The sequence below is a fragment of the Homo sapiens genome, chromosome 17 (assembly GCF_000001405.40).
Source record: "Homo sapiens chromosome 17, GRCh38.p14 Primary Assembly".
Lineage (NCBI taxonomy): Eukaryota > Metazoa > Chordata > Mammalia > Primates > Hominidae > Homo > Homo sapiens.
In genome coordinates, this window is record NC_000017.11 from 41,865,574 (window position 1) to 41,889,606 (window position 24,033).

The 24,033-nt window shown below is 48.5% G+C and overlaps 1 protein-coding gene across 5 annotated transcripts in view, besides 2 other annotated features; it reads right to left on the reverse strand.

The window, feature by feature from the left end:
- Positions 34-534: an enhancer, noted in NCBI's record as "H3K27ac-H3K4me1 hESC enhancer chr17:40021860-40022360 (GRCh37/hg19 assembly coordinates)". NCBI's record gives its function as "activates a minimal SCP1, AML or CMV promoter by ChIP-STARR-seq in primed H9 embryonic stem cells {active_cell/tissue: H9 hESC(primed)}" and the evidence as "EXISTENCE:reporter gene assay evidence [ECO:0000049][PMID:30033119]".
- Positions 535-1,035: an enhancer, noted in NCBI's record as "H3K27ac-H3K4me1 hESC enhancer chr17:40022361-40022861 (GRCh37/hg19 assembly coordinates)". NCBI's record gives its function as "activates a minimal SCP1, AML or CMV promoter by ChIP-STARR-seq in primed H9 embryonic stem cells {active_cell/tissue: H9 hESC(primed)}" and the evidence as "EXISTENCE:reporter gene assay evidence [ECO:0000049][PMID:30033119]".
- ACLY (ATP citrate lyase) overlaps positions 1,344-24,033 on the reverse strand; it is a 63,629-nt gene continuing 40,939 nt past the window's right edge. For 3 of the 5 annotated variants that reach the window (XM_005257395.2, NM_001303275.1, NM_001303274.1), the window contains 13 exons: positions 22,026-22,130; positions 20,539-20,735; positions 18,620-18,701; positions 17,549-17,659; positions 13,224-13,351; positions 12,530-12,623; positions 8,238-8,392; positions 6,459-6,609; positions 6,116-6,259; positions 3,901-4,014; positions 3,470-3,552; positions 3,136-3,212; positions 1,344-2,331 (listed from right to left, as the gene is read on the reverse strand). In XM_005257395.2, the coding sequence (XP_005257452.1) occupies positions 2,237-2,331; positions 3,136-3,212; positions 3,470-3,552; positions 3,901-4,014; positions 6,116-6,259; positions 6,459-6,609; positions 8,238-8,392; positions 12,530-12,623; positions 13,224-13,351; positions 17,549-17,659; positions 18,620-18,701; positions 20,539-20,735; positions 22,026-22,130 (1,536 nt within the window). In that variant the 3' untranslated portion in view covers positions 1,344-2,236. The remainder of the gene's footprint in view (positions 2,332-3,135; positions 3,213-3,469; positions 3,553-3,900; positions 4,015-6,115; positions 6,260-6,458; positions 6,610-8,237; positions 8,393-12,529; positions 12,624-13,223; positions 13,352-17,548; positions 17,660-18,619; positions 18,702-20,538; positions 20,736-22,025; positions 22,131-24,033) is intronic. The other 2 variants (NM_198830.2, NM_001096.3) reach the window with 1 other exon arrangement.

The window sequence follows — 24,033 nt, forward strand, 5'->3', positions numbered from 1 at the left end:
GCTCTGCCTGCCTTGGTGAGGTCCGTCAGTAACAGTCGCCCAGTCCAGAAGACTTCGCCCCAGGCCTACCCCCAGGGCGTCGGTGCGAGTATGGCTCGCTTCCTTTCCTTAGTGGGTAGCATGCTCTCTGCAGTCATTTTGTCGAGTAAAGCCACCTTAGACCATCACCTGTTGTTAAAGCCTTGAGTGGCAATACAGGATTTTTATAAGATCTAGCCCCAGCTAAGTGGATGAGGGATGAATGAGTTACTCGTTATCCGTTTTTTTTTTTGTTTCTTTTTGTTTTTGTTTTGTTTTGGGTTTTTTGTTTTTTTTTTTTTTGAGACGGAGTCTCGCTCTGTCGCCCAGGCTGGAGTGCAGTGGCGCGCTCTTCGCTTATTGCAACCTCCGCTGCCCGGGTTCAAGCGATTCTTGTGCCTCAGCCTCCCGAGTAGCTGGGACTACAGGCGCCCGCCACCACTCCAGGCTAATTTTTTTTTTTTTTTTTTTTTTGAGACGGAGTCTCGCTCTGTCGCCCAGGCTGGAGTGCAGTGGCGCGCTCTTCGCTTATTGCAACCTCCGCCGCCCGGGTTCAAGCGATTCTTGTGCCTCAGCCTCCCGAGTAGCTGGGACTACAGGCGCCCGCCACCACTCCAGGCTAATTTTTTTTTTTTTTTTTTTTTTGAGACGGAGTCTCGCTCTGTCGCCCAGGCTGGAGTGCAGTGGCGCGGGTCTCGGCTCACTGCAACCTCCGCCTCCCGGGTTCACGCCATTCTCCTGCCTCAGCCTCCGGAGTAGCTGGGACTACAGGCGCCCGCCACCATGCCTGGCTAAGTTTTTGTATTTTTAATAGAGACGGGGTTTCACCGTGTTAGCCAGGATGGTCTCGATCTGCTGACCTCGTGATCCACCCGCCTCAGCCTCCCAAAGTGCTGGGATTACAGGCATGAGCCACCACGCCTGACCGTAGATGAGCATTTTTAAAACCATATATACTGAAACTATTAGTACAGTTCAGGCCAGGCCAGGCACAGTGGCTCACGCCTGTAACAGCACTTTGGGAGGCCAAGGAGGATGGATTGCTTGAGTCCATGAGTTCCAGAAGAGCCTGGGAAATACAGCAGAACCTTATCTCCACAAAAAATACAAAAGTTAGCCTGGAGTGGTGGCATGCTCCTGTAGTCCCAGCTACTTGGGAGGCTGGAGTGGGAGGACTGCTTGAGCCCAGGAGATGGAGGCTGCAGTGAGCTGTGATGGTGCCACTGTACTCCAGCCCTGGGGCGACAGAGTGATACCCTGTCTGGAAAAAAGTACAGTTACAAAGGAATACAGATCAAAGGATATGGATGCCAGGAGCCAGCAGTATGCCTTCATTGTTACTATATAGTTTATTTAAACCAGACTATGATAATACAGAGAAGAGACTGAGGTGGCAGCTGCCCAGAATCTTTGTGGATTACAGATGCAAAGTAGTTAGGAGTCCTTGGACCCACACTTCAGTTACAGACAGACAAATCAGCTGCATAAATACAGAGAACATAAGACACAAGACATTTCACAGCTTTCTGCATTTCCATTTTAAATGTATGTATGTTACAACTTTACATATTAAGTTACTACTCCACATATTTTGTGACAATGGCTAAGGATGCAATGGCCCCATCCCCCTGACATAAACAGACTCTGGTCTGCAACACAGAACATTTCAGTGGGATACCAAACAAGCCCTTAACACGTAACATACAAAAAGATCTTTAAAAATCAGATTAATACAATGTTCTTCATGTTATATAAGGAAGAAGAAAGGGAAGTAAAAAAAAAAAAAGAGAGACATTGGGGTGCTTTAAATGTATAGTATCTTGAGGCCATAAATGTTTCATTCCCTTCCTCCAAAGGAGAAAAAAATGTTTAACTAATGGAAAAAGAAAGCAACATCCTAACGCCCTACAATGAGGAAGACCCCATCCTGACAGTACTTAGATGCTTCCATATAATAAATACAGCAGGTAGCAGAGCAAAGTCACAAATATTGGCTTGGTTTTTATTTCTATGCTTATAAAAAAAATATGAAGCTTCTTTGTGTGGACTGAAGGGGTGTTAGCCTGTGGATGTTGGTCTTCGGTGCCTGTACCCCAGTGGCTGTTTACATTCCAGGCCCCTGCTAAATAAAGCAGGCTCCACTGCCAGCTGTCTGTACACTTTTTCTTGGGGGAAGAGATCTTGTCTTCAGTTTACTGCAGTAGGGTTCCTGGCTCTGTTACATGCTCATGTGTTCCGGAAGAACATATGAAATATCATCCCACGGATGACGATACAGCCCCTGCTTCAGCCTCTTCTGATCAAGATAGTGTCCTAAAATGAAGCAAACACATCTTTTTTATTAGAGCTTCATAAGCCTGGTGAGAGGAAGAGGCTAAGGAAGGGAAATCTTTCTAACACACAAAAAAAGTAGACACAAAGCAGTGGGAAGTTTAGTCCAAATCCACTGTATAGGTAGATGAGGCGGACTTTGTACAAGGGAGCTGCTGGATCTGATTCTATTTTCCTTTAAATTAAAACAAAATTTTAAAGGGAAAAAATAAAATAAAATAAATAATAAAAATAGGCCGGGCACGGTGGTTCACGCCTGTAATCCCAGCACTTTGGGAGGCCGAGGTGGGCAGATCACGAGGTTGGGAGATCGAGACCATCCTGGCTAACATGGTGAAACCCCGTCTCTACTAAAAATACAAAAAATTAGCCAGGCGTGGTGGCATGCGCCTGTAGTCCCAGCTGCTTGGGAGGCTGAGGCAGGAGAATCGCTTGAACCCGGGAGGCAGAGGTTGCAGTGAGCTGAGACCGCGCCACTGCACTCCAGCCTGGTGACAGAGCAAGACTCAGTCTCAAAAAAAAAAAAAAAAATTTTCCTGGGCTAGCAATCATTTCTAAGAACAAAGGAACAATGATAAAGATAAGGGGAAAGGTTAAAGTAAGAAAGGAAAGATTAAGAACAATGATTAAGAGGATATGACATTTCTTCTGTAGAAACTGAACCACAAAAAGAAAATTAAAAAAAAAAAAAAAGAAAGAAAAAGAAACTCAACCCCATGAGTAAGTGGTGTAGCTGAACCGTGGGGTTTAAAAAAAAACACTTAAAACAACAACGAATGGACTCACCAATGAACCCCATACTCCTTCCCAGCACAAAGATGCCATTGAGGGCTCCAATGTCAATATATTCATCAGCTTCCTCCCTGCAACACACATCAACTTGTAGTTTTAAAAGGCTCACGTGACTGCCCTCCTCCCCACAGACAGTACTACTACTGCCCAAGAATGAGAAGAAAAGGGGTGCTCTGGGTGGTAGCATTACAGGCAATTTTTGTTTTCTTCTTTATACCTCTCCTTATTTTTCAAATATTCTATTATGAGTATGCATTACTTTTATAGTTTGGAGGAAACAACAAAAATCAACAAACGTAATGAAGAAGAAAACAGCTACAATGCTCACCGAGTAAAGGACCCACAGTTTCTAAGCATGTCTACAAATGCGACTCCGATGAGACCATCTACATTCAGGATAAGATTTGGCTTCTGGGAAGGCAAAAAAATTCAAAGCATTTATCATTATTTCTCATTTTTTCTTCATAATTTTCCACTGTCACTACTATTACTACGAATTGTGACCATCATTTAAAAACCTTCTACCAGCCCCACTGGTCGACACTGTGTCTGACTCAGTTCAATTCCCAGCATCTAGCAAAGTACCCAACACCTAGTTGACATTTAGTGCATGTCTGTTAAATTTAGTTATGAAACAAAAATAACATTTCTAGAAAACTAGGTTTGCTTTTAGCTGCATAATCAAAATGTAACGTGGCTCCTGTTTCCTCCAATAAACTTGTCCAACGTGAGGGAATTAGGAAGTTTTTTCTTTGTTACCTTCGAGGTGGTAATCTTCTCTACTTCCAGTGCATAATCGAGCAGAGGAGTGGCAGGGAAGTGCTGCCTGACGTAATCTTTGAGGATCTGCACTCGCATGTCTGGGTTGTTTATCTAGAAATGAACCCAACGGTACAGAGGAACACTCACACACTGCTGGGATGTGTTTGTTCATACTTGTGTTACAGGTAGGTAGAACTGGACATATCCCAGCGGCGATTCAGGAACCTGGCCCACGTGTACCATTCCATGTGGCACCAATTGTGCTAATGCCATGAGGCTGGCTTTTGAAGTCCTCTCATATCTCAATTGGGACACAAAACAACCTTGGTAGGTTCTCACTTTTAAGTTGCAAAGAAGAAACTGAGCCCTGAGATGTTCAGGGAACTGGCCAGGTCCTACAGTGTTGAGCAGCAGAGGTCTGAAAGTTAACCACTCTCCAACTCAAGAGTCTTAGGTTCCAGCCTCCAGCCATGCCCCCGCCAGCTCTGTGCCTACTCAAGCTGTGACAAAGTTCAACACTAAACAAACACGTGTTTAGTGTGGGGAGGCAAAGTATTCCCAAAATTTTAGGGAAAACTCTAGACCTGCTGTGAATGAAATTAACCACCTGTCAGTTGGGGAGGAAGATGATCTAGGGACATACCAAATCGAATACCAAAGCAACTTCAGCCCTCAGCAAAAGAGATAGCTGGGTCAGTACATCCTCTAGAAAGCGGGGAGCTCAAAGAGTGAATGAGTGAGTGTGGAGTGCAAGTCTAGCATTATCTTAGAAAGAGGCTCTGTGCTGTACATAGGCATGTTGTTATATGCTCAGGAGCTGGGGCTGGCTGAGCAAAGTCAAGCAAGTCCTGGATGGAATGTCCCTCAGAGCCACCCACCTTCCCTGCTTGGTTCTGAGCTGGTCCTTGCTCATCAAGCAACCTCTGGGTATCACCTGAGATGGCCAAGTGTTTGGCTGCCTAGAAGGTGGTGTCCTGAATCACATGCATGACCTTCATGTTAATACTCCCCACCTAGGCCAGTGGAGTGACCAAATAAATGAGGTTGCTGGAGCTACAGAGCCAAGGAGCCCAGGGTAAAGGGATCTGCTAAGGAGCTGTCCCCATAAGGCCCTGAGCAGCTGCCAGTGACCTCATCTCTTGCTCTTTGGTTTCTAACCAAAGCACAATATAAGGACATAGAAATGACCGGCCCTGTGTGAGACTATATAAACTGTTTCAAATATTTACTGTCCTTTCCCACTGGTCTCTCCCAATCAGATATGCCTTGATATTGTCACTCTTCCTGCCCCAGTGATGTCACAAATAACCACTTGACTTGCGGTGGCCAATGAAATGTGAGTGAAGGTGAATCATGTAAGGCTTTAAGAGCCTGCACGTGGTCCTGCCATTGCTGTTATCCTGCTGACGTGAGGCCAGCACATCCCAGACGGCGGCTGTTCTTTCGGCACAGATGGCAGAGAACAGGCACAGCAAACCCTCAGTGGATGTAGTGTGAATGAGACATAAACCTTTGCTGTGGTAAGCCACTGAGATTTTTGGAGTTGTCTGTTACTGCGGAATGAGGTATTATCTAGCCGAAGGTGACCAATATGTCCCCTCAACCTGACCTTGGCCCTTTTACCCATAAGATTCATTTGGGAAACCAAAGTTACCAAGTTTTCCATCTCATTTCAACTGCTATTTCCATACTGCAAGCGAACGACAGAAAAACTGTTAAGGGCAATCTGTATTATAACATGGAAAAAATAGCTGCTTTGTATTTGGCATCTGTCAACACATCCAAAGCTTTGTATGTTGGAGTTGAAAGCTTAGGTATTCTCCCAAATAAATTAATGCCCCCACTATCACCACCCACCCAGTAGATCCATCCCACTTTTTTTTTTTTTTTTTTGAGATGGAGTTTCACTCTTGTTGCCCAGACTGGAGTGCCATGGCACAATCTCGGCTCACCACAACCTCCACTTCCCGGGTTCAAGCAATTCTCCTACCTCAGCCTCCTGAGTAGCTGGGATTACAGGCATGCACCACCACGCCTGGCTAATTTTTTTGTATTTTTAGTAGAGACGGGGTTTCTCCATGTTGGTCAGGCTGGTCTCCAACTCCCGACCTCAAGTGATCCACCTGCCTTGGCCTCCCAAAGTGCTGTGATTACAGGCATGGGCCACCGCGCCTGGCCTCCATCCCACTTTTTTAGGAGAGTAACAACTCACCGACTTCACTCGGTGACCAATGCCCATGATCAGCTTCCCTTCCTTCTTCATCTTGTTCACAAACTCCATGGGGATAATGCCACTGTCAAAGGCTTTACTGAACATCTTGGCTGCTGCATCCAAGGCACCCCCAAACCGATCCCCCTGGAGGAGAAACAAGTGCGTGTTGCCTTGAGCTTTAAGAGTTTCCTTCAGCTGGGCAAACCAACCCAGTGTGTCCCGAACGGCCCTGAGCACTGGGTTTTACACTCAGGGGCTCCTTCTAGGGCCCTGCTGTGGCAAAGCAGCATGAGGCCAAGGCCCAGTGTCCCCACTGTTCACCTCCCATGATGACAGTACTTACGATGGTGAGCAGCCCCGAGGTGAGGCTGGAGACCAGGTCTTTCCCAGCTCGCGCACAAATGATGGTGTTGTGGGCTCCAGAGACGGCTGGCCCGTGATCAGCTGTCACCATCAGACACATCTCAATGAACTGGCAAGAGTACTTAGGCAACCTGGAGTGGGGGGAACAAAGGCCAGGAGATGGTCGACAAGGCCATGCTCGTACTTTCCCCCATCTCCCTAAACAAGTCATTCAAATCCAAGAAGGGTAACTACCAATCCAAGTCTAATACTACCACACAACTCTAAGGCAAAACCTCCTGATTCTTTTCTTTAGACAGAGTCTCATTCTGTCGCCTAGGCTGGAATGCAGTAGTGTGATCTTGGCTCACTGCAACCTCCACCTCCTAGGTTCAAGCAATTTGCCTGCCTCAACCTCCCAAGTAGCTGGGACTACAGGTACGCACCACCACGCCAGGCTAATTTTTGTATTTTTAGTAGAGACGAGATTTTGCTATGTTGGCCAGGCTATCTCGAACTCCTGGCCTCAAGTGATCTGCCCACCTCGGCCTCCCAAAGTGCTGGGATTACATACAGGCATGAGCCACCGCGCCCGGCCCCAAATACTGTTTGTAAAACAGAGTTTGAAACCAGAGTTTTGAATCTATTCTTTGATCAGTGATTTTCAGCATGAGTTGCCTGTACCAGGATTTGACCTGTATTTGTGGCTATGCTCCATGTGCCAGACTGACAGGAGGTGAGAACCCTGTCCCTTCACAGTGTAGGAGGCCCCATGCCTCATTCCTGTAGTATTCAACCTCCCAACTAAGAATCAGGAACAAAGTATGGAGAGGTGGGAGGCAGGAGCAGACAGAGAGAGACCTGCTCAGGTGTTATAACCCGTGAACTTTTCCCAGGAAGGGTCCAAAGCAGGACCAAGACCCATCTCTCTGCAGGTGAGGGCATGACACAACCAAAGACATTGACCTGGCCTTCTGCCCAGCATCACATTAAGCCCAGGGCTCTGTGAATCACATACTCACTGGCTCCCCTGCCCAGCCGTCAGTCCCACGGGAGGGCTAAGATTGGGAGTTGCAGAGAAAACCAATTTTTTCTAACATTCAAGCTGATGGGAGAAACAAATTTGCAAAGTGAACACAAGGTACTTTTTTTTTTTTTTTTTTGAGACGGAATATTTTTGCTCTTGTTGCTCAGGCTGGAGTGCAATGGTGTGATCTTGGCTCACTGCAAACTCCACCTCCCGGGTTCAAGTGATTCTCCTGCCTCAGCCTCCTGATTAGCTGGGATTACAGGCGTGCACCACTATGCCTGGCTACCTTTTTGTATTTTTAGTAGAGATGGGGTTTCACCATGTTGGCCAGGCTGGTCTTGAATTCCTGACCTCAGGTGATCCACTCACCTCGGCCTCCCAAAGTGCTGGGATGACAGGCGTGAGCCACCGCGCCTAGCCCATAAGGTACTTTCTATCTGTTCAGCAGCTCCACCAGGCCCACACTCCTTAGGCCACCACATCTTTCCAGTTCTCTCCTGCCTAACCTCTATCTTGCTGTCAAGAGATCTGCATTTGGTTGGGTGCAGTGGCTCATGTGACTGGACTTTCTGTCCTTGGAAGACTTAGGAATAGTTTATGTGTCCTTCCTCTGGCCGCTCAATTGACCTGTGGCCCCAAAGATTGATCTTGGACACACTCCCCAGGCCTGTCCACTCCCACCCCTTTGTTGGGGGAAAATCATTAACTCTGAGCTGCAGGGCCCTGTAATCTTCTGCCCTCCATGCTCACCTTTTCTGGAACCAGAGGAGGCCGAGGACCCCGCCAATGCCCATCTCTTCCTTGAAGACCTCAGTGATGGGCATGCCCGCGTAGATGAGCTCCTGTCCTCGCTCATCGCAGATGCTGGTCATGAACGAGGCAGGTTTGCGGATCAAACCAAGCTCCTGGGCAGAGATGGGGAAGAGGGAAGCAGGGCCCTGGTGACCACCACAGATTTTTCCAGGACTGCCCTGCTGTGTGTACTCTCAGAACCAAAGCACCCCAGGAATGTCGTAAACTCTGGCAGCCAAGTAACAACTCTCAAAGTTTTCCCAAGAAAGAAGTGCAAAAGCCCTTTCATTAGATCATTTTGGACATAGAAAACAGGAGGACCCATGACACCACTTGGCATCAGCACTATCAGCTCTATTTCTATCCTTCCCTGAGCATTTGCTGGGCTAGGAAATAGCCTAAGCAGTTCATATCCATTGCTTCATTTCTGGAGGGGGACCAGAGTCTCTCTGTTGCCCAGGCTGGAGTACACTGGTGAGACCATAGCTCACTTCAGCCTCAAACTCCTAGCTAGGCTCAAGCGATCTGCCCAGCTATGCCTCCCAGTAGCTGGGGCAACAAGGCACGCACCGCCACGCCTGGCTAATTTTAAAATTTTTTTGTAGAGACAGGGTCTTGCTATGCTGTCCAGGCTGGTCTTAAACTCTTGTGCTCAAGCAGTTCTCCCACCTCAGCCTCCCCAAGTGCTGGGATTACAGGCGTGAGACCCAGTCCATTGCTTCTTTTTTTTTTTTTTTTTGAGACGCAGTCTTGCTCTGTCGCCCAGGCTGGAGTGCAGTGGTACGATCTCAGCTCACTGCAAGCTCCGCCTCCCAGGTTCATGCCATTCTCCTGCCTCAGCCTCCCAAGTAGCTGGGACTACAGGCGCTTGCCACCACGCCCAGCTAATTTTTTGTAATTTTAGTAGAGATGAGGTTTCACCGTTTTAGCCAGGATGGTCTCAATCTCCTGACCTCATGATCCGCCTGCCTCGGCCTCCCAAAGTGCTGGGATTACAGGCGTGAGCCACTGCATCCAGCCCATTGCTTCATTTTAACCTCACAAAGGAGAAGCATTCCTTGTGTTATAGCAAAAAAAAAAAAAAAAAAATGAGGCTTAGAGAGGCTCAGTAACCAGCCCAAGGTCACCTGGGTAAGAAATGGTAAAATGAATCCAAAGGGAAAATCTTACATACACTTCAGATATAGCTGCCAACCATAACAATAACGTAATGGGGCAGGGCACAGTGGCTTATGCCTGTAATCTCAGCACTTTGGGAGACCAAGGCAGGCGGATCACTTGAGGTCAGGAGTTCGAGACCAGCCTGGCCAACATGGTGAAACCCCATTATCTATTGAAACTACAAAAATTAGCTGGGCGTGGTGGTATGTGTCTGTAACCCCAGTTACTCGGGAGGCTAAGGCAGGAGAATCGCTTGAATCTGGGAGGAGGAGGTTGCAGTGAGCAGAGATCGCACCATTGCACTCCAGCTTCAGCAACAAAAGTGAAACTCCGTCTCAAAAAAAAAAAAAAAGGGGGGACGAGATACGTGGCTAAAGAAATGGGGGAGCCCCCCTCCCTCTCCCTCTCCCCACGGTCTCCCTCTCCCTCTCCCCACGGTCTCCCTCTCCCTCTCCCCACGGTCTCCCTCTGATGCCGAGCCGAAGCTGGACTGTACTGCTGCCATCTCGGCTCACTGCAACCTCCCTGCCTGATTCTCCTGCCTCAGCCTGCCGAGTGCCTGCGATTGCAGGCGCGCGCCGCCACGCCTGACTGGTTTTCGTATTTTTTTGGTGGAGACGGGGTTTCGCTGTGTTGGCTGGGCTGGTCTCCAGCTCCTAACCACGAGTGATCCGCCAGCCTCGGCCTCCTGAGGTGCCGGGATTGCAGACGGAGTCTCGTTCACTCAGTGCTCAATGGTGCCCAGGCTGGAGTGCAGTGGCGTGATCTCAGCTCGCTACAACCTCCACCTCCCGGCCGCCTGCCTTGGCCTCCCAAAGTGCCGAGATTGCAGCCTCTGCCCGGCCGCCACCCCGTCTGGGAAGTGAGGAGCGTCTCTGCCTGGCCGCCCATAGTCTGGGATGTGAGGAGCCCCTCTGCCTGGCTGCCCAGTCTGGAAAGTGAGGAGCGTCTCTGCCCGGCCGCTATCCCATCTAGGAAGTGAGGAGCGCCTCTTCCCGGCCGCCATCCCATCTAGGAGGTGAGGAGCGTCTCTGCCCGGCCGCCCATCGTCTGAGATGTGGGGATGAGGAGATCCTCTGCCTGGCAACCGCCCCGTCTGAGAAGTGAGGAGCCCCTCCGCCCGGCAGCCGCCCCATCTGAGAAGTGAGGAGCCCCTCCGCCCGGCAGCCACCCCGTCTGGGAAGTGAGGAGCGTCTTCGCCCGGCAGCCACCCCGTCCGGGAGGGAGATGGGGGTCAGCCCCCCGCCCGGCCAGCCGCCCCGTCCGGGAGGGAGGTGGGGGGGTCAGCCCCCCGCCCGGCCAGCCGCCCCGTCCGGGAGGTGAGGGGCGCCTCTGCCCGGCCGCCCCTACTGGGAAGTGAGGAGCCCCTCTGCCCGGCCACCACCCTGTCTGGGAGGTGTACCCAACAGCTCATTGCGAGCGAGCCATGATGACAATGGCGGTTGTGTGGAATAGAAAGGGGGAAAGGTGGGGAAAAGATTGAGAAATTGGATGGTTGCCGTGTCTGTGTAGAAAGAAGTAGACATGGGAGACTTTTCATTTTGTTCTGTACTAAGAAAAATTCTTCTGCCTTGGGATCCTGTTGATCTGTGACCTTATCCCCAACCCTGTGCTCTCTGAAACATGTGCTGTGTCCACTCAGGGTTAAATGGATTAAGGGCAGTGCAAGGTGTGCTTTGTTAAACAGATGCTTGAAGGCAGCATGCTGGTTAAGAGTCATCACCACTCCCTAATCTCAAGTACCCACGGACACAAACACTGCGGAAGGCCCCAGGGTCCTCTGCCTAGGAAAACCAGAGACCTTTGTTCACTTATCTGCTGACCTTCCCTCCACTATTGTCCTATGACCCTGCCAAATCCCCCTCTGCGAGAAACACCCAAGAATGATCAATACAAAAAAATAAAAAATAAAAAAGGAAAAAAAAAAAAGAAATGGGGGAGCCCTTCAATATGTCTTTTACCCAGGGGACGGGGACTGAATTCCTGAATTTCCCATTTCCAGAGTTGAGGCAAATCAGCCAATTTAGTCCAATCCTATTTCTCCAATTATCCTCTATGAATTTTTAAAATGCTTTACAGTTACATTTTTATTACAAAAACAACATGAATATGTTCTCTATCTCTCTCTCTCCTTTTTTTTTTTTGAGACGGAGTTTCGCTCTTGTTGCCCAGGCTGGAGTGCAATGGCACGATCTTGGCTCACTGCAACCTCTGCCTCCCAGGTTCAAGCAATTCTCCTGCCTCAGCTTCCCGAGTAGCTGGGATTACAGGAGCCCACCACCGCGCCTGGCTAATTTTTGTATTTTTTCAGTAGAGATGGGGTTTCACCATGTTGGCCAGCCTGGTCTCGAACTTTTGACCTCAGGTGATCCGCCCACCCTGGCCTCCCAAAGTGCTGGGATTACAGGCATGAGCCACCAGGCCCAGCCCTTTTTTTTTTTTTTTTTTTAAATTACAGACAGGGTCTCACTCTGTCACCCAGGCTGGAGTGCAGTGGCACAGTCATGGCTAACTTCAGCCTTCAACTCCTGGTCTCAAGCAGTCCTTCCACCTTGACCTCCAAAAGTGTCAACTTGACTGGATTGAGGGACACAAAGTATTAATCCTGGGTGTGTCTGTGTAGGTGTTGCTAAAAGAGATTATCATTTGAGTCAGTGGGCTGGGGAAGGCAGATCCACCCTTAGTGTAGTGAGCATAATCTAATCAGCTTCCAGCAAATATAAAGCAGGCAGAAAAATGTGAAGAAGAGAGACCAGCCTAGCCTCCCAGCCTACATCTTTCTCCTGTGCTGGATGCTTCCTGCCCTCAAACATCGGACTCCAAGTTCTTCAGTTTTGGGACTCGGACTGGCTCTCCTTGCTCCTCAGCTTATAGACAGCCTATTGTGGTACCTTGTGATCATGTAAGTTAATACTTAATAAACTCTCCTTTATATATATATATCCTATTAGTTCTGTCCCTCTAAGAGATCCCCGACTAATACAGAAGGCCTGGTTTCCAAGAGTTCAAGGCAAATCAACGCGAAACCCACCACCATAGACCCACAGATCTCCCTTGCTCACACTGTTAGAGACATTTAAGGCACCTACCCTGGCCCAGGAGTAGTCCATGGGCACGGTTGGGGGCGGCACCTCCTGGGCAGGTACAATGACTCCATTGGCCACGAGATCTTCGTATACAGACCTGGGAGGCAGGAAAAAAAAGACATCCATGTGGATTTTCTTATTTTGGGCTCCTGTAAGACATCCCAAGAATGCTCTATCTAACCCAAACACTGTAGGTTTCTTAGTTTACTCTTACCTGCTGAATTCTGAGAACTAAATGAAAAGAAGTTCTAGCCAAGACTGCACCTGCCCTCTGCTCCCTACTACCTCATGTCCCAATCTCTGGATGGCAAGGAAGGACACAGCCGGGAGTCCAGGCAGGTTTAAGAGGTAGAAATGGGAAGAGATCACAGGATATCTAATAACTCTCTATCAATCATAGATAACACTCTCTAAACATTTTCATGTGGCGCTCTCATCTATGGCTGCCACCTCCCAGCCAAATAGGTAGGCTCAGAAACTCAACACATTTTAATACCAGCCTAGACCTACTGCCTCCACAAACTAAATAAAACAAAAGGAAAGCCAAAGAGAAAGAGGATTTTGAACCATCCATACAGCTGCGCTAGACACCGAGAGGGACCAGGAATACATGATGTCCCTGTGTGGGAGAGGCTGCTGTCTCAGGAGGGATTTGGAAAGGAGGGGGAGGCCGGCATCCTCCCCAAGGTCCACTTACTGGATGATCTCTCCAAGCTCATCAAAGCTCCGGGGCACAAACACTCCTGCTTCCTTCAAAGCCTGGTTCTTGGCTACTGCAGTTTCAGAAGCCTGGTTGGCACAAGCTCCAGCATGGCCAAACTGGACCTGGAAAGCAAAGGAAAGTAGCTTTACTGCTAATCCCCCAAGAGTGAACATAGAATCCCATGTAAAGTGTGCTAAACACTTTACATGAATCACTTCATTTAAGCCTCAAGCAAGCTCACTGAATAGGTACAATAGATGATTTCCATTTTACAGACAAGGAAACCAAAGCACAGAGAAGTTCAGGAGCTTCCTCAGGGTCACGCAGCTAAGGTGCATGGAAGTCAGGATACAAAGACTGGCAGCCCAACTCCAGAATCACCTTCCTCTGCCTCCTGGGTTCCAGCGATTCTCCTGCCTCAGCCACCCGAGTAGCTAGGATTACAGGTGCCTGCCACCACGCCCAGCTAATTTTTGTATTTTTAGTAGAGATGGGGTTTCACTATGTTGGCCAGGCTGGTCTCGAACTCCTAACCTCAGGTGATCCACCAGCCTCGGCCTTGCAAAGTGCTGGGATTACAGGTGTGAGCCACCACGCCTGCCCCCCCCGCCTTTTTTTTTTTTTTTTTTTTAAGTGACAGGGTCTCACTCTGTCACCCAGGCAGGAGTAAAGTGATGCAGTCACGGTTCACTGGCACCTTGGCCTCCTTGGGCTCAGGTAATCCTCCCACCTCAACCTCCTCAATAGCTGGGACTATAGATATGTGCCCAGGAGGCTGAGGTTGCAGTGAGCCAAGATTGCGCCACTGCACTCCAGCCAGGGTGATAAGAGCAAGACTCCGTCTCAAAAAAAAAAAAAAAAAAAAAAAAAAAAAAAAAAAAAAAAGAAGTGCTAAATGGTGTCTGTGTCTTTTCTTTCTTTCTTTTTTTTTTCGAGACAGGGTCTCGCTCCAGTTCCCCAGGCTGGAATGCAGTGGTGCTATCTTGGCTCACTGCAGCCTCAACCTCCCAGGCTCGGGTGATTCTCCCACCTCCTCCCGTGTAGCTGGGACTACAGGCGTATGCCACCACAGGTGTATGCCTGGCTAAAAGTTTTTTGTAGTTTTTTAGTAGAGACAGGGTTTCGCCATGTGGTCCAGGCTGGTCTCCAACTCCTGGACTCAAGCAACCCACCCACCTCAGCCTCCCAAGCTGCTGGGATTACAGGCATGAGCCAGCGCGCCCAGCGTGACTGAGTCTTTAATCAAGCGATGGAGGAAATTAACCCACAAGACATCTGATGCAAAGCCTTGTCTTAGGATGGGGTGCAGAGAGTAATCATAGTACTATCTAACCTGTTTACATAACACTATGTTCAGGCACTTTTCTAAGAGTTTTACTCATTCAATCTCAGTAGCTATGATCGTTTCCTATAAAAAAGGAAATGGGAGCACAGATGGGTAAAGTGATTTATCCCAGGTCACACAGGTAGCATGTGGTAGCACTTGAACCTAGGCAATCTGGCCTCAGCCTGTGCTCTTCACCATGCAAACAGAACAAAAAGGTGAAAAGGTTAGGAACTGCTGCTCTGTAAGCAAAGGTTGAAAGACACCTTAAAGCGTGAGTTCCCAATGCGTTCTTTGTAGGATTTAATCTGCATCGGCAGATGGGTGGGAAGAAGAGAGTCTATACTCAGAAACCCTAGGTTTAAAGAAGTTAAGTTTCTTGTAACTCTGGATTTCTCAAAACTAAAAACAAAATTTCTAAAAGGGAGATGAATTATTTAAAAAACAAAACTAAAGGGCTGGGCGCAGTGGTTCACGCCTGTAATCCCAGCACTTTGAGAGGCCGAGATGGGTGGATCATGAGGTCAGGAGACTGAGACCATCCTAGCTAACGGTGAAACCCCATCTCTACTAAAAGAATACAAAAAAAATTAGCCGAGTGTGGTGGTGGGCGTCTGTAATCCCAACTACTTGGGAGGCTGAAACAGCAGAATGGCGTGAACCCCGGAGGTGGAGCTTGCAGTGAGCCGAGACTGCACCACTGCACTCCAGCCTGGGCGACAGAGCGAGACTCCGTCTCAAAAAAAAAAAAACACAAAAACCTAAAATAATTCAAGGACCCACCCCACCCATGGGGCGATGAGTGCCACCAGATACTGAAATGCGAGGTGCTCACCCTCTTAGAAGTGTCCTGATCATGGTGGGGATGGGGAGGTGGGGTGGAAAGGGGGAGGGGCTGGTAATGCAAAGCAAGCCAGGAGAAACAATGGAGGAGGGTGACTGGTTTTTGGCTGTTGGGCGAGTACAGAGTTGGGGGGAGAGCAATGGAGTTGGGGGAGAGCACTCAAGAAGAAAGAGAATCGGCTGGGTGCGGTAACTCACGGCTGTAATCCCAGCACTTTGGGAGGCCGAGGCAGGTGGATCACCTGAGGTCAGGACTTCGAGACTAGCCTGGCCAACATGGTGAAACCCTGTCTTTACTAAAAATACAAAAATTAGCCGGGCGTGGTGGCTGTTATCCCAGCTACTTGGGAGACTGAAGTAGGAGAATTGCTTAAACCAGGGAGGCAGAGGCTGCGGTGAGCTGAGATCGCACCACTGCACTCCAGCCTAGGCGAGAGACTCCGTCTCAAAAAAAAAAAAAAAAAAAAAAAAGGAGAATCAGGAACAGCTTCATGGAATAAGCGGACTGACAAGGCATGGGAAAAAAAAGAAGTTTCTAAGACCTATGCACGCCAGACCTTTACAATTACTTCCTCATTTAAGTCATACAACAACCTTGCGGCATGGCATCCTCATTTTACAGCTCAGGAAACAGTTACCAAGAGGCTAAATGACTTGCCCAGGTCTACCAAGATCTGATTTTAAAGATCTGATCTCAGCTCACTGCATCCTCCGCCTCCCAGGTTCAAGCAATTCTCCTGCCTCAGCCTCCCGAGTAGCTGGCATTATATGCCCCTGCCACCACGTCTGGCTACACAGATCTACCAAGGTCTGATTTTAAAGCCTGTGCAAGCAGAGCTCACCCTGGAGGGATGGGCAGGATTCTGGACCTCTCCTCCCCTTTTACTTACATGGAAAAATAAAAAATAAAACCCACATACACACACACTTTACACAAAATGGATATTATAAGCATTTACTGAACTCTGCCCTTTCTTACAGGTAATGTATCTTAAACTCTTTCTGTATCAACATATCAAGTTCCACCTCCTTCTTTGCATGCCTGCCCTGTTTTCCATTAGTTTGTGGATATGCCATGCTGACAGTCCCCTCCTGATAAGCATGTAAGTTGTTTCCAGGCCAGGCATGGTGGCTCACGCCTGTAATCCCAGCGCTTTGGGAGGATGAGGCAGGCAGATCACAAGGTCAGGAGCTCGAGACCAGCCTGACCAACATGGTAAAACTCCATCTCTACTAAGAATACAAAAATTAGCTGGGTGTGGTGGCATGCGCCCATAATCCCAGCTACTCAGGAGGCTGAGGCAGGAGAATCATTTGAACCCAGGAGGCGGAGGTTGCAGTGAGCCGAGATCACACCATTGCACTCCAGCCTGGGCGACAGAGTGAGACCCTGTCTCCAAAAAAAAAAAAAAAAAAAAAAAAAAAAAAGTTGTTTCCAGTTTTTGCTGTTAATGATACTGCAGAGTATTCTTGTACACACACCAGGTACCCGGCTTTTCCTTCAATTTCATCATCATCACGTGAGCCACCTTCAAGGTGGTAAAGGGTTCTCTAAGCCGAAGCACAGGGGCTGAAGTCTGGCGTATGATCCCCCAGCAGAAGACAGATAGCTCAGAAGCTTAGCAGACAGCAGAAGCCCAAGGAGTGTTTATATTCAACACCATCAGGTGCGCCAGACACTTTCAAGTACATTTTATCATTTTAACACATCAAGAACAAACCTTTCCTTCTACCACCTCTCCCCACACAAAACATCTCACCAAGCCCCGCCCAGCTGAGCCCAGGCTGTGTCCTTCTCCCTCCTTGGCCTCCCTTTCATCAGCAAAGCCCTTCTCATCCCCTAAACTACAGTTCAAACATCACCTTCTCAGGGATGCCATCTCAACTTCTCCAGACAGCTGGTTGCTACCTACGCCAAGTAGGGACTCAGAGCCTGACTGTAGCTTTAATCTGCTTATAAATTGGTCTCCTCCAACTGGATATAAGCTCCCAGAGAGCAGGGCCCTGGCTGGACTTTGTAGTAACCAAGCAAGTAACAAACGTTTCTTGAAGGAACTAGCTGCGAATTAATAAGATGATTACCTGGTTCGCCTCAAATGCCCCCTCTTGCAATCCCCACTCCCAGCCCAGAAGTGACCCATCTCAGCCATACCTCAGAGGAGAACATGGTGGCACACGTCCCGATGCACCAGCAGACGATGGGCTTAGTGAGGCGGCCCTCCTTGATGCCCCGGCAAATCTTATATTCCTCAGTGCCCCCAATCTGCCAAGGAATGGGGAATGAGAAAAAGCCAAGTTAGTGCAGCCCATCCTGACGTAAAAACTGGATAGAAAATGGAGTGACACGGGCTTTGGCCAAATAAAAGGAGTTTAATTTCAGCCTGGACACAAGGAAGATTTCTAAAGGAACAAACAGCAGGTCTCCTAGAGGAATCTCTGGGACTCCCCCTTCCTAATCTAGAAATATAACATGATTTAGGATTAGACCTGCCTTCAGAGGTGCAAACAAGGGATGGGGTTATGGGACTCCCAAATTTTTTAGTATTTAGAAAATTTTTTTTAACCGTTCTATCCAAAAGTCATCACATTTTTTAAAAAGCGCTTTTTTTTTGCTTTTTTTTTTTTTTTTTTTTGAGACGGAGTCTTGATCTGTCTCCCAGGCTGGAGGGCAGTGGCGTTATCTCTGTTCACTGCAACCTCTGTCTCCTGGGTTCAAGTGATTCTCCCACCTCAGCCTCCCGAGTGGTTGGGATTACAAGTGTGCACCACCATGCCTGGCTAATTTTTATATTTTTAGTAGAGATGGGGTTTCACCATGTAGGCCACGATGGTCTAGAACTCCTGATCTCAAGTGACCCAGTTGCCTCAGCCTCCCAAAGTGCTGGGAGGATTACAGGTGTGAGCCACCATACCTGGCCAAAAAAATGCACTTTTTTTACTCCAGCTTTCCACTGCCCACCAGGTAGAGACCATGGCCAGCCAGAGCAGAGCTTCTCTCTTATTGGCGCTAAAGTTTGGGATGCTGGGAGATTAAGAACTCCCTTCTCTGAAACATAAATGGCAGTACTAATAGTGACAACCTTGAGGCCCCAGCATCTAGGGGATGGGATTACCAGGGACTGTCCCTTTAAGTTACATGTAACCAAAATGTTTTAATTTTTTGAAAACTGAGATCATGCATTACAGTTTTAAAATCATAATTTTTTTTTTTAAAGTAACTCACCTCTCCAAGAACCACAATCATTTTGACTCCTGGAGTGTCCTGATAGCGTAACACATGATCCATGAATGTGGAGCCCGGGTACCTGTTGAGAGCAGGGAGTATCAGGATACAGGATCAGGAGGAGGCCTGGGGAAGTGTGTACAGGGTTAGGAAGCACACTTGTACTGGGTACACTGGATTTTGGGGGGATGTGGATGGCCAGTAAGGGTCCAGAGATGCCCCAGCAATAATGGACAGGGGAAGGTAGCAAATGGAACAGAAGAGAAGAAAGAGGGAAGGAGTTGGAGCTATTTAACTTGCAAAGGAAAAGACTGGGCACAAAATAAGCCCAGAGAGGTTCGCTCAGCAGTAAGAGATGACTTAGAAAGTACGCCCTGGTGCAGTTGTTTTAAAATATATCCACAAATTCCGGCCAGGCGCAGTGGCTCACGCCTGTAATCCCAGCACTTTGGGAGGCCCAGGAGGGTGGATCACCTGAGGTCAGGAGTTCCAGACCAGCCTGGCCAACATGGCGAAACCCCGTCTCTACTAAAAATACAAAAATCAGCCAGGTGTGGTCGTGGGCGCCTGTACAGTCCTAGCTACTCAGGTGGCTGAGACGGGAGGATCGCTTGAATTTTTTGATCGTCTCAAAAACAAAAACAAACAAACAAACAAAAAAAACCTAAGAACACACACATATTTTCTTTCTTTCTGAGATGAAGTCTTGCTCTTTCACCCAGGCTTGAGTGTAGTGGTGCGATGTTGGTGCACTGCAACCTCCGCCTCCCGGGTTCAAGCAATCCTCCTGCCTCAGCCTCCAAAGTAGCTGGCACTACTGGCACATGCCACCACATCCGGCTAATTTTTTTTTGGTAGAGATGGGGGTCTCTACCAAATTCGAGACTGTGTTGCCTCAGCTAGTCTCGAATTTCTGGGCTGAAACAATCCTCCTCCCTCAGCCCCCCAAAGTGCTGGGATTATAGGCATAAGCCACTGTTCTTGGCCTCTTCATGTCTTTTGATATGATCATTATAAATCTAAGAAGACAATCTAAACAAGCAGCATTTCCTAGACTTATTCCCTGAGCCTTTGGTCAGGCAGTACCCAAGGACTGGGGATTCCCAGGCTACACCCCTAAAGACCTTGGTGAGAGTTCTTCCTCACCCAGGCATCCTATCGGAAATCATGTGGTAGAGCCAGGGAGACGAACAAGGTGACTCTATCTCAACAGCTTTTGGTTTCTAAGCCCGACAGCAGTAGTAATAGTAGGAATAATAAACAATAATGGCTAACATTTATTATGAACCTACTAAGTGCCAGACGTTACTCTGAGATATAATACTGTATTCATGACCTACTGATCAGTGTTCCCACTACCAAAAATAATGAGGATACTATTATTAACTACAATAAAAACTCACTGAGCACCTGCTGAACGCAGGCCCTGGCTCAGACACTTATATGTATTACAATTCATTTATTCCTCCAGTAGCCCCATGAGGTGGGGGTATTATTTACCCATTTGATGTGTAAAAATGATGGAGGTCTAGGGAGGTTAAGTAACCGGACCAGGATGGCCCCTGCCACCCACCCCCTACTAAAGAGGGAAAATGGGATTTGAACCTCTTTAGTCCAATTTCAGAACTGGCCCTCCTAACCACTGTACTCTGCTGCCTCCCTATGGCCAATCACAACAAACAGAATTATCCCCAAAGCCCAGTCGCCCCTCCTGCACATTGTTGCCCTGTTCTGTGTTTTCCGATTTCATGCTCTGTCAGTCCTGAGACAAGAGCAGTGATGCCCCATTGTTTAGACTTCAGCAGCATTCCTGCGGGCCTGGAACTCAGGGGCAGCAAGCAGCCTGCAGGACACAGCATCGTCTCCTAGCCCACTGCTCTCAAAGCAGGAAGCCCCTCCTTGGCTTCCCAGCTGATTACCTGTCCCCACCAATGGCCACGCCCTCATAGACGCCATCCGTGGTCCGAGAGATGATATTGTTGAGCTCGTTGGACATGCCTCCGGAACGTGAGACATAGGCCACGCTGCCTGGGCGGTACAGTTTGGAGGCCAGGATGTTGTCCAGCATCCCACCTGTGTTGCCAATCTTAAAGCACCCAGGCTTGATGCCTCCAACCTGTGGGGGCAGAAACCACAATCAGGGAGGAAGGTGACTTCCAGATTCACCACAAAGAATCACAAAGCCCCTGCATTACTGCCCAGCCCCTTCTGGCCAGGCTGGGGAGAGAATGACCAAGAGAAATCACACTTGCCCACTGGGTTTCCTGCTTAGGAAAGTCTCCTCTCTCTCTCAAGAGACATACAGAACAAAAGAGAGCCTTATTTGTAAAGCATGGCTCACTAATTCAGGTTCAGATACGTATACTTGGCCCGGCACAGTGGCTCAGGTCTGTAATCTCAGCTCTTTGGAAATAAATACTAGCTCCATTTTTTTAATACAGTAAGAAGTAAAAATAAGCCAGGTGTGGAGAACACTTCTGGAATCCCAGCTACTCAGGAGGCTGAGGCAGGGAGATTGCTTGAGCTTAGGAGTTCGGGGCTGCTGAAGTGTGTTATAACTGCACCTGTGAAAAGCCACTGCACTCCAGCAACACAGCAAGACCCTGCTTCTTAAAAAAACAAACAAAAAATAATTCAAAGAATAATTTCAGCCAGGCATGGTGGCTCACGCCTGCAATCCCAACACTTTTGGAGGCTGTAGGGGGCAGACTACCTGAGGTTGGGAGTTTGAGACCAGCCTGGCTAACATGGTGAAACCCTGTCTCTACTAAAAATACCAAAATTAGCCAGGCGTGGTGGTTCACACCTATAGTCCCAGCTCCTCGGGAGGCTGAGGCAGGAGAATTGCTTGAACCAAGGAGGCAGAGGCTGCAGTGAGCCAAGATCGTGCCACTGCACTCCAGCCTAGGTAACAGGGCAAGACTCCGTCTCAAAGAAAAAAAAAAAAAAAAAAAAAAAAAAAAAGGCCAAACACGGTGGCTCACACCTGTAACTCCAGCACTTTGGGAGGCCGAGGTGGGTGGATCACCCGATGTCAGGAGTTCGAGACCAGCCTGACCAACATGGTGAAATCCCGTCTCGACTAAAAACACAAAAATTAGCCGGACATGGTGGCGGGTGCCTGTAATCCCAGCTACTTGGGAGGCTGAGACAGGAGAATCACTTGAACCCGGAAGCGGAGGTTGCAGTGAGCCAGGATCGCGCCATTGCACTCCAGCCTAGGCATTGCAGTGAGGCTGTGTCTCAAAAAAAAAGCTAAAAATGGACAGACTGATTTTCAACACATACTTCCTGAATCTTCTCAACCTAGGAGGGAGATAGAGGAGTCAAAAAGTAAACTTCCTAAGGGCATTGAACTTCATAAGATAGCATCGAACGTAAAAGGCTTTCCGGAGGGGAAGCTCACAGTGGCAGGTCCGATGATGGTCACTCCCTTCTGGTCCGCCTTCTTGATCAGCTTTCTCGTGAGGGCCTCAGGGATGCCTTCAGCTATGATGGCGATGGTCCGGATCTAGAGGATGACAAAAGTCCCTTCCTGTTAACTCTCTGCCTCAGAAAGGGCAACAAGACAGCACCGTTTAAGGGCCCACCTCCCATTCCACATGTCCTCTTCCAGGGTCCAAGAACAAAGTAATGTTAACAATATGCATATCAGCCGGGCGCGGTGGCTCATGCTTGTAATCCCAGCACTTTGGGAGGCCGAGGAGGGTGGATCTTCTAAGGTCAGGAGTTCGAGACCAGCCTGGCCAACGTAGCAAAACCCCGTCTCTACTAAAAATACAAAAATTAGCTGGGTATGGTGGTGCGCGCCTATAATCCCAGCTACTAGGGAGGCTGAGGCAGGAGAACTGCTTGAGCCCGGGAGGTGGAGGTTGCAGTGAGCTGAGACGGCACCACTGCACTCCAGCCTGGGTGACAGAGCGAGACTCCATCTCAAAAACAAAAACAAAACAAAACGAAAAAACAAAACCAATATGCATCTCATTCTTCCCACAGGCCTCTGCTCGTAATCACTCTAACCATCTCCTGAAAACACAAGTGGTGGATAGCCGAAACTGATCTCCACTAGCTAACACCACAGTGATCCACCCAAGAGAGGCAGGTATTTCGGAAGCCCTGCTACAGTCATAGCAGCTACGTTCACTCTCACCCAAAAGCTCACACCCTCCTGTTGTCTACCTGTTCCTGTGCCTGCTCATAAAGCAGCTATCTAAGGCTTTTCTTCATGGGACCCTCCGAGTCTTGTCACCATCCCCACAGGACAGGGTCAGCGTTTAAGAGAAATGAGCTGCTTCTACACTCAGCCCAGAGGCGGGGTGGGAGGGGCATGGGACAGATCCAGGAATCACTTCTCTTTGGCTCTAAACCAGGGCCAGCAAACTTCTGTAAAGGGTCAAGATAGTATTGTAGGGGCCAGGTAGAGTGGCTCATGCCTGTAATCCCAGCACTTTGGGAGTCTAAGGCAGGTGGATCCCTTGAGCCCAAGAGTTCAAGGCCAGCCTGGGCAACACAGGGAGACCCGGTAGGAGGATCAATTGAACCCAGGAGGTTGAGGCTACAGTGAGTTGCATGATTGCATCACTGCACTCCAGCCTGGGCTACAGAGCAGTATGTGTGTCTCTTTAAAACCAAACAAAAACCCCTGGCTGTGCGCGGTGGCTCACATCTATAATCCCAGCAATCTGCAAGGCCAAGGTGGGCAGATCATTTGAGATTGGGAGTTTGAGACCAGCCTGACCAACATGGAGAAAACCCATCTCTCCTAAAAATACAAAATTAGCCAGGCATAGTGATGCATGCCTGTAATCCCAGCTACTTGGGAGGCTGAGGCAGGAGAATCACTTGAACCTGGAAGGCAGAGGTTGCGGTGAGCCGAGATCACACAACTGCACTACAGCCTGGGCAATGAGAGCAAAACTCTGTCTCAAAAAACAAAAAACAAAAACAAACAAACAAACAAAAAACAGCCCTAAAACTAGGTGATGTGCTAGGTTTTGCCTTGGGCCATAGTTTGCCAACCTCTGCCCTAAACTAAAGAAGCAGCAGCCGGACGTGGTGGCTCACGCCTGTAATATCAGCACTTTGGGAGGCCGAGGCGGTTGGATCACCTGAGGCCTGGAGTTCAAGACCAGCCTGATCAAAAAGGTAAAATCCCATCTCTATTGAAAATACAAAAATTAGCTGGGCGTGGTGGCAGGCGCCTGTAGTCCCAGCTACTCGGGAGGCTGAGACAGGAGAATTGCTTGAACCCGGGAGGTGGAGGTTGCAGTGAACTGAGATCACGCCGCTGTACTCACTCTAGCTTGGGTGATGGAGAAAGGCTCCATTTCACAAAAAAAAAAAAAAAAAAAAAAAAAAAAAAAAGAAGTAGCTCATTTTCAGCAAATGTATTTTTTCACTTCCTCTAGGTATCA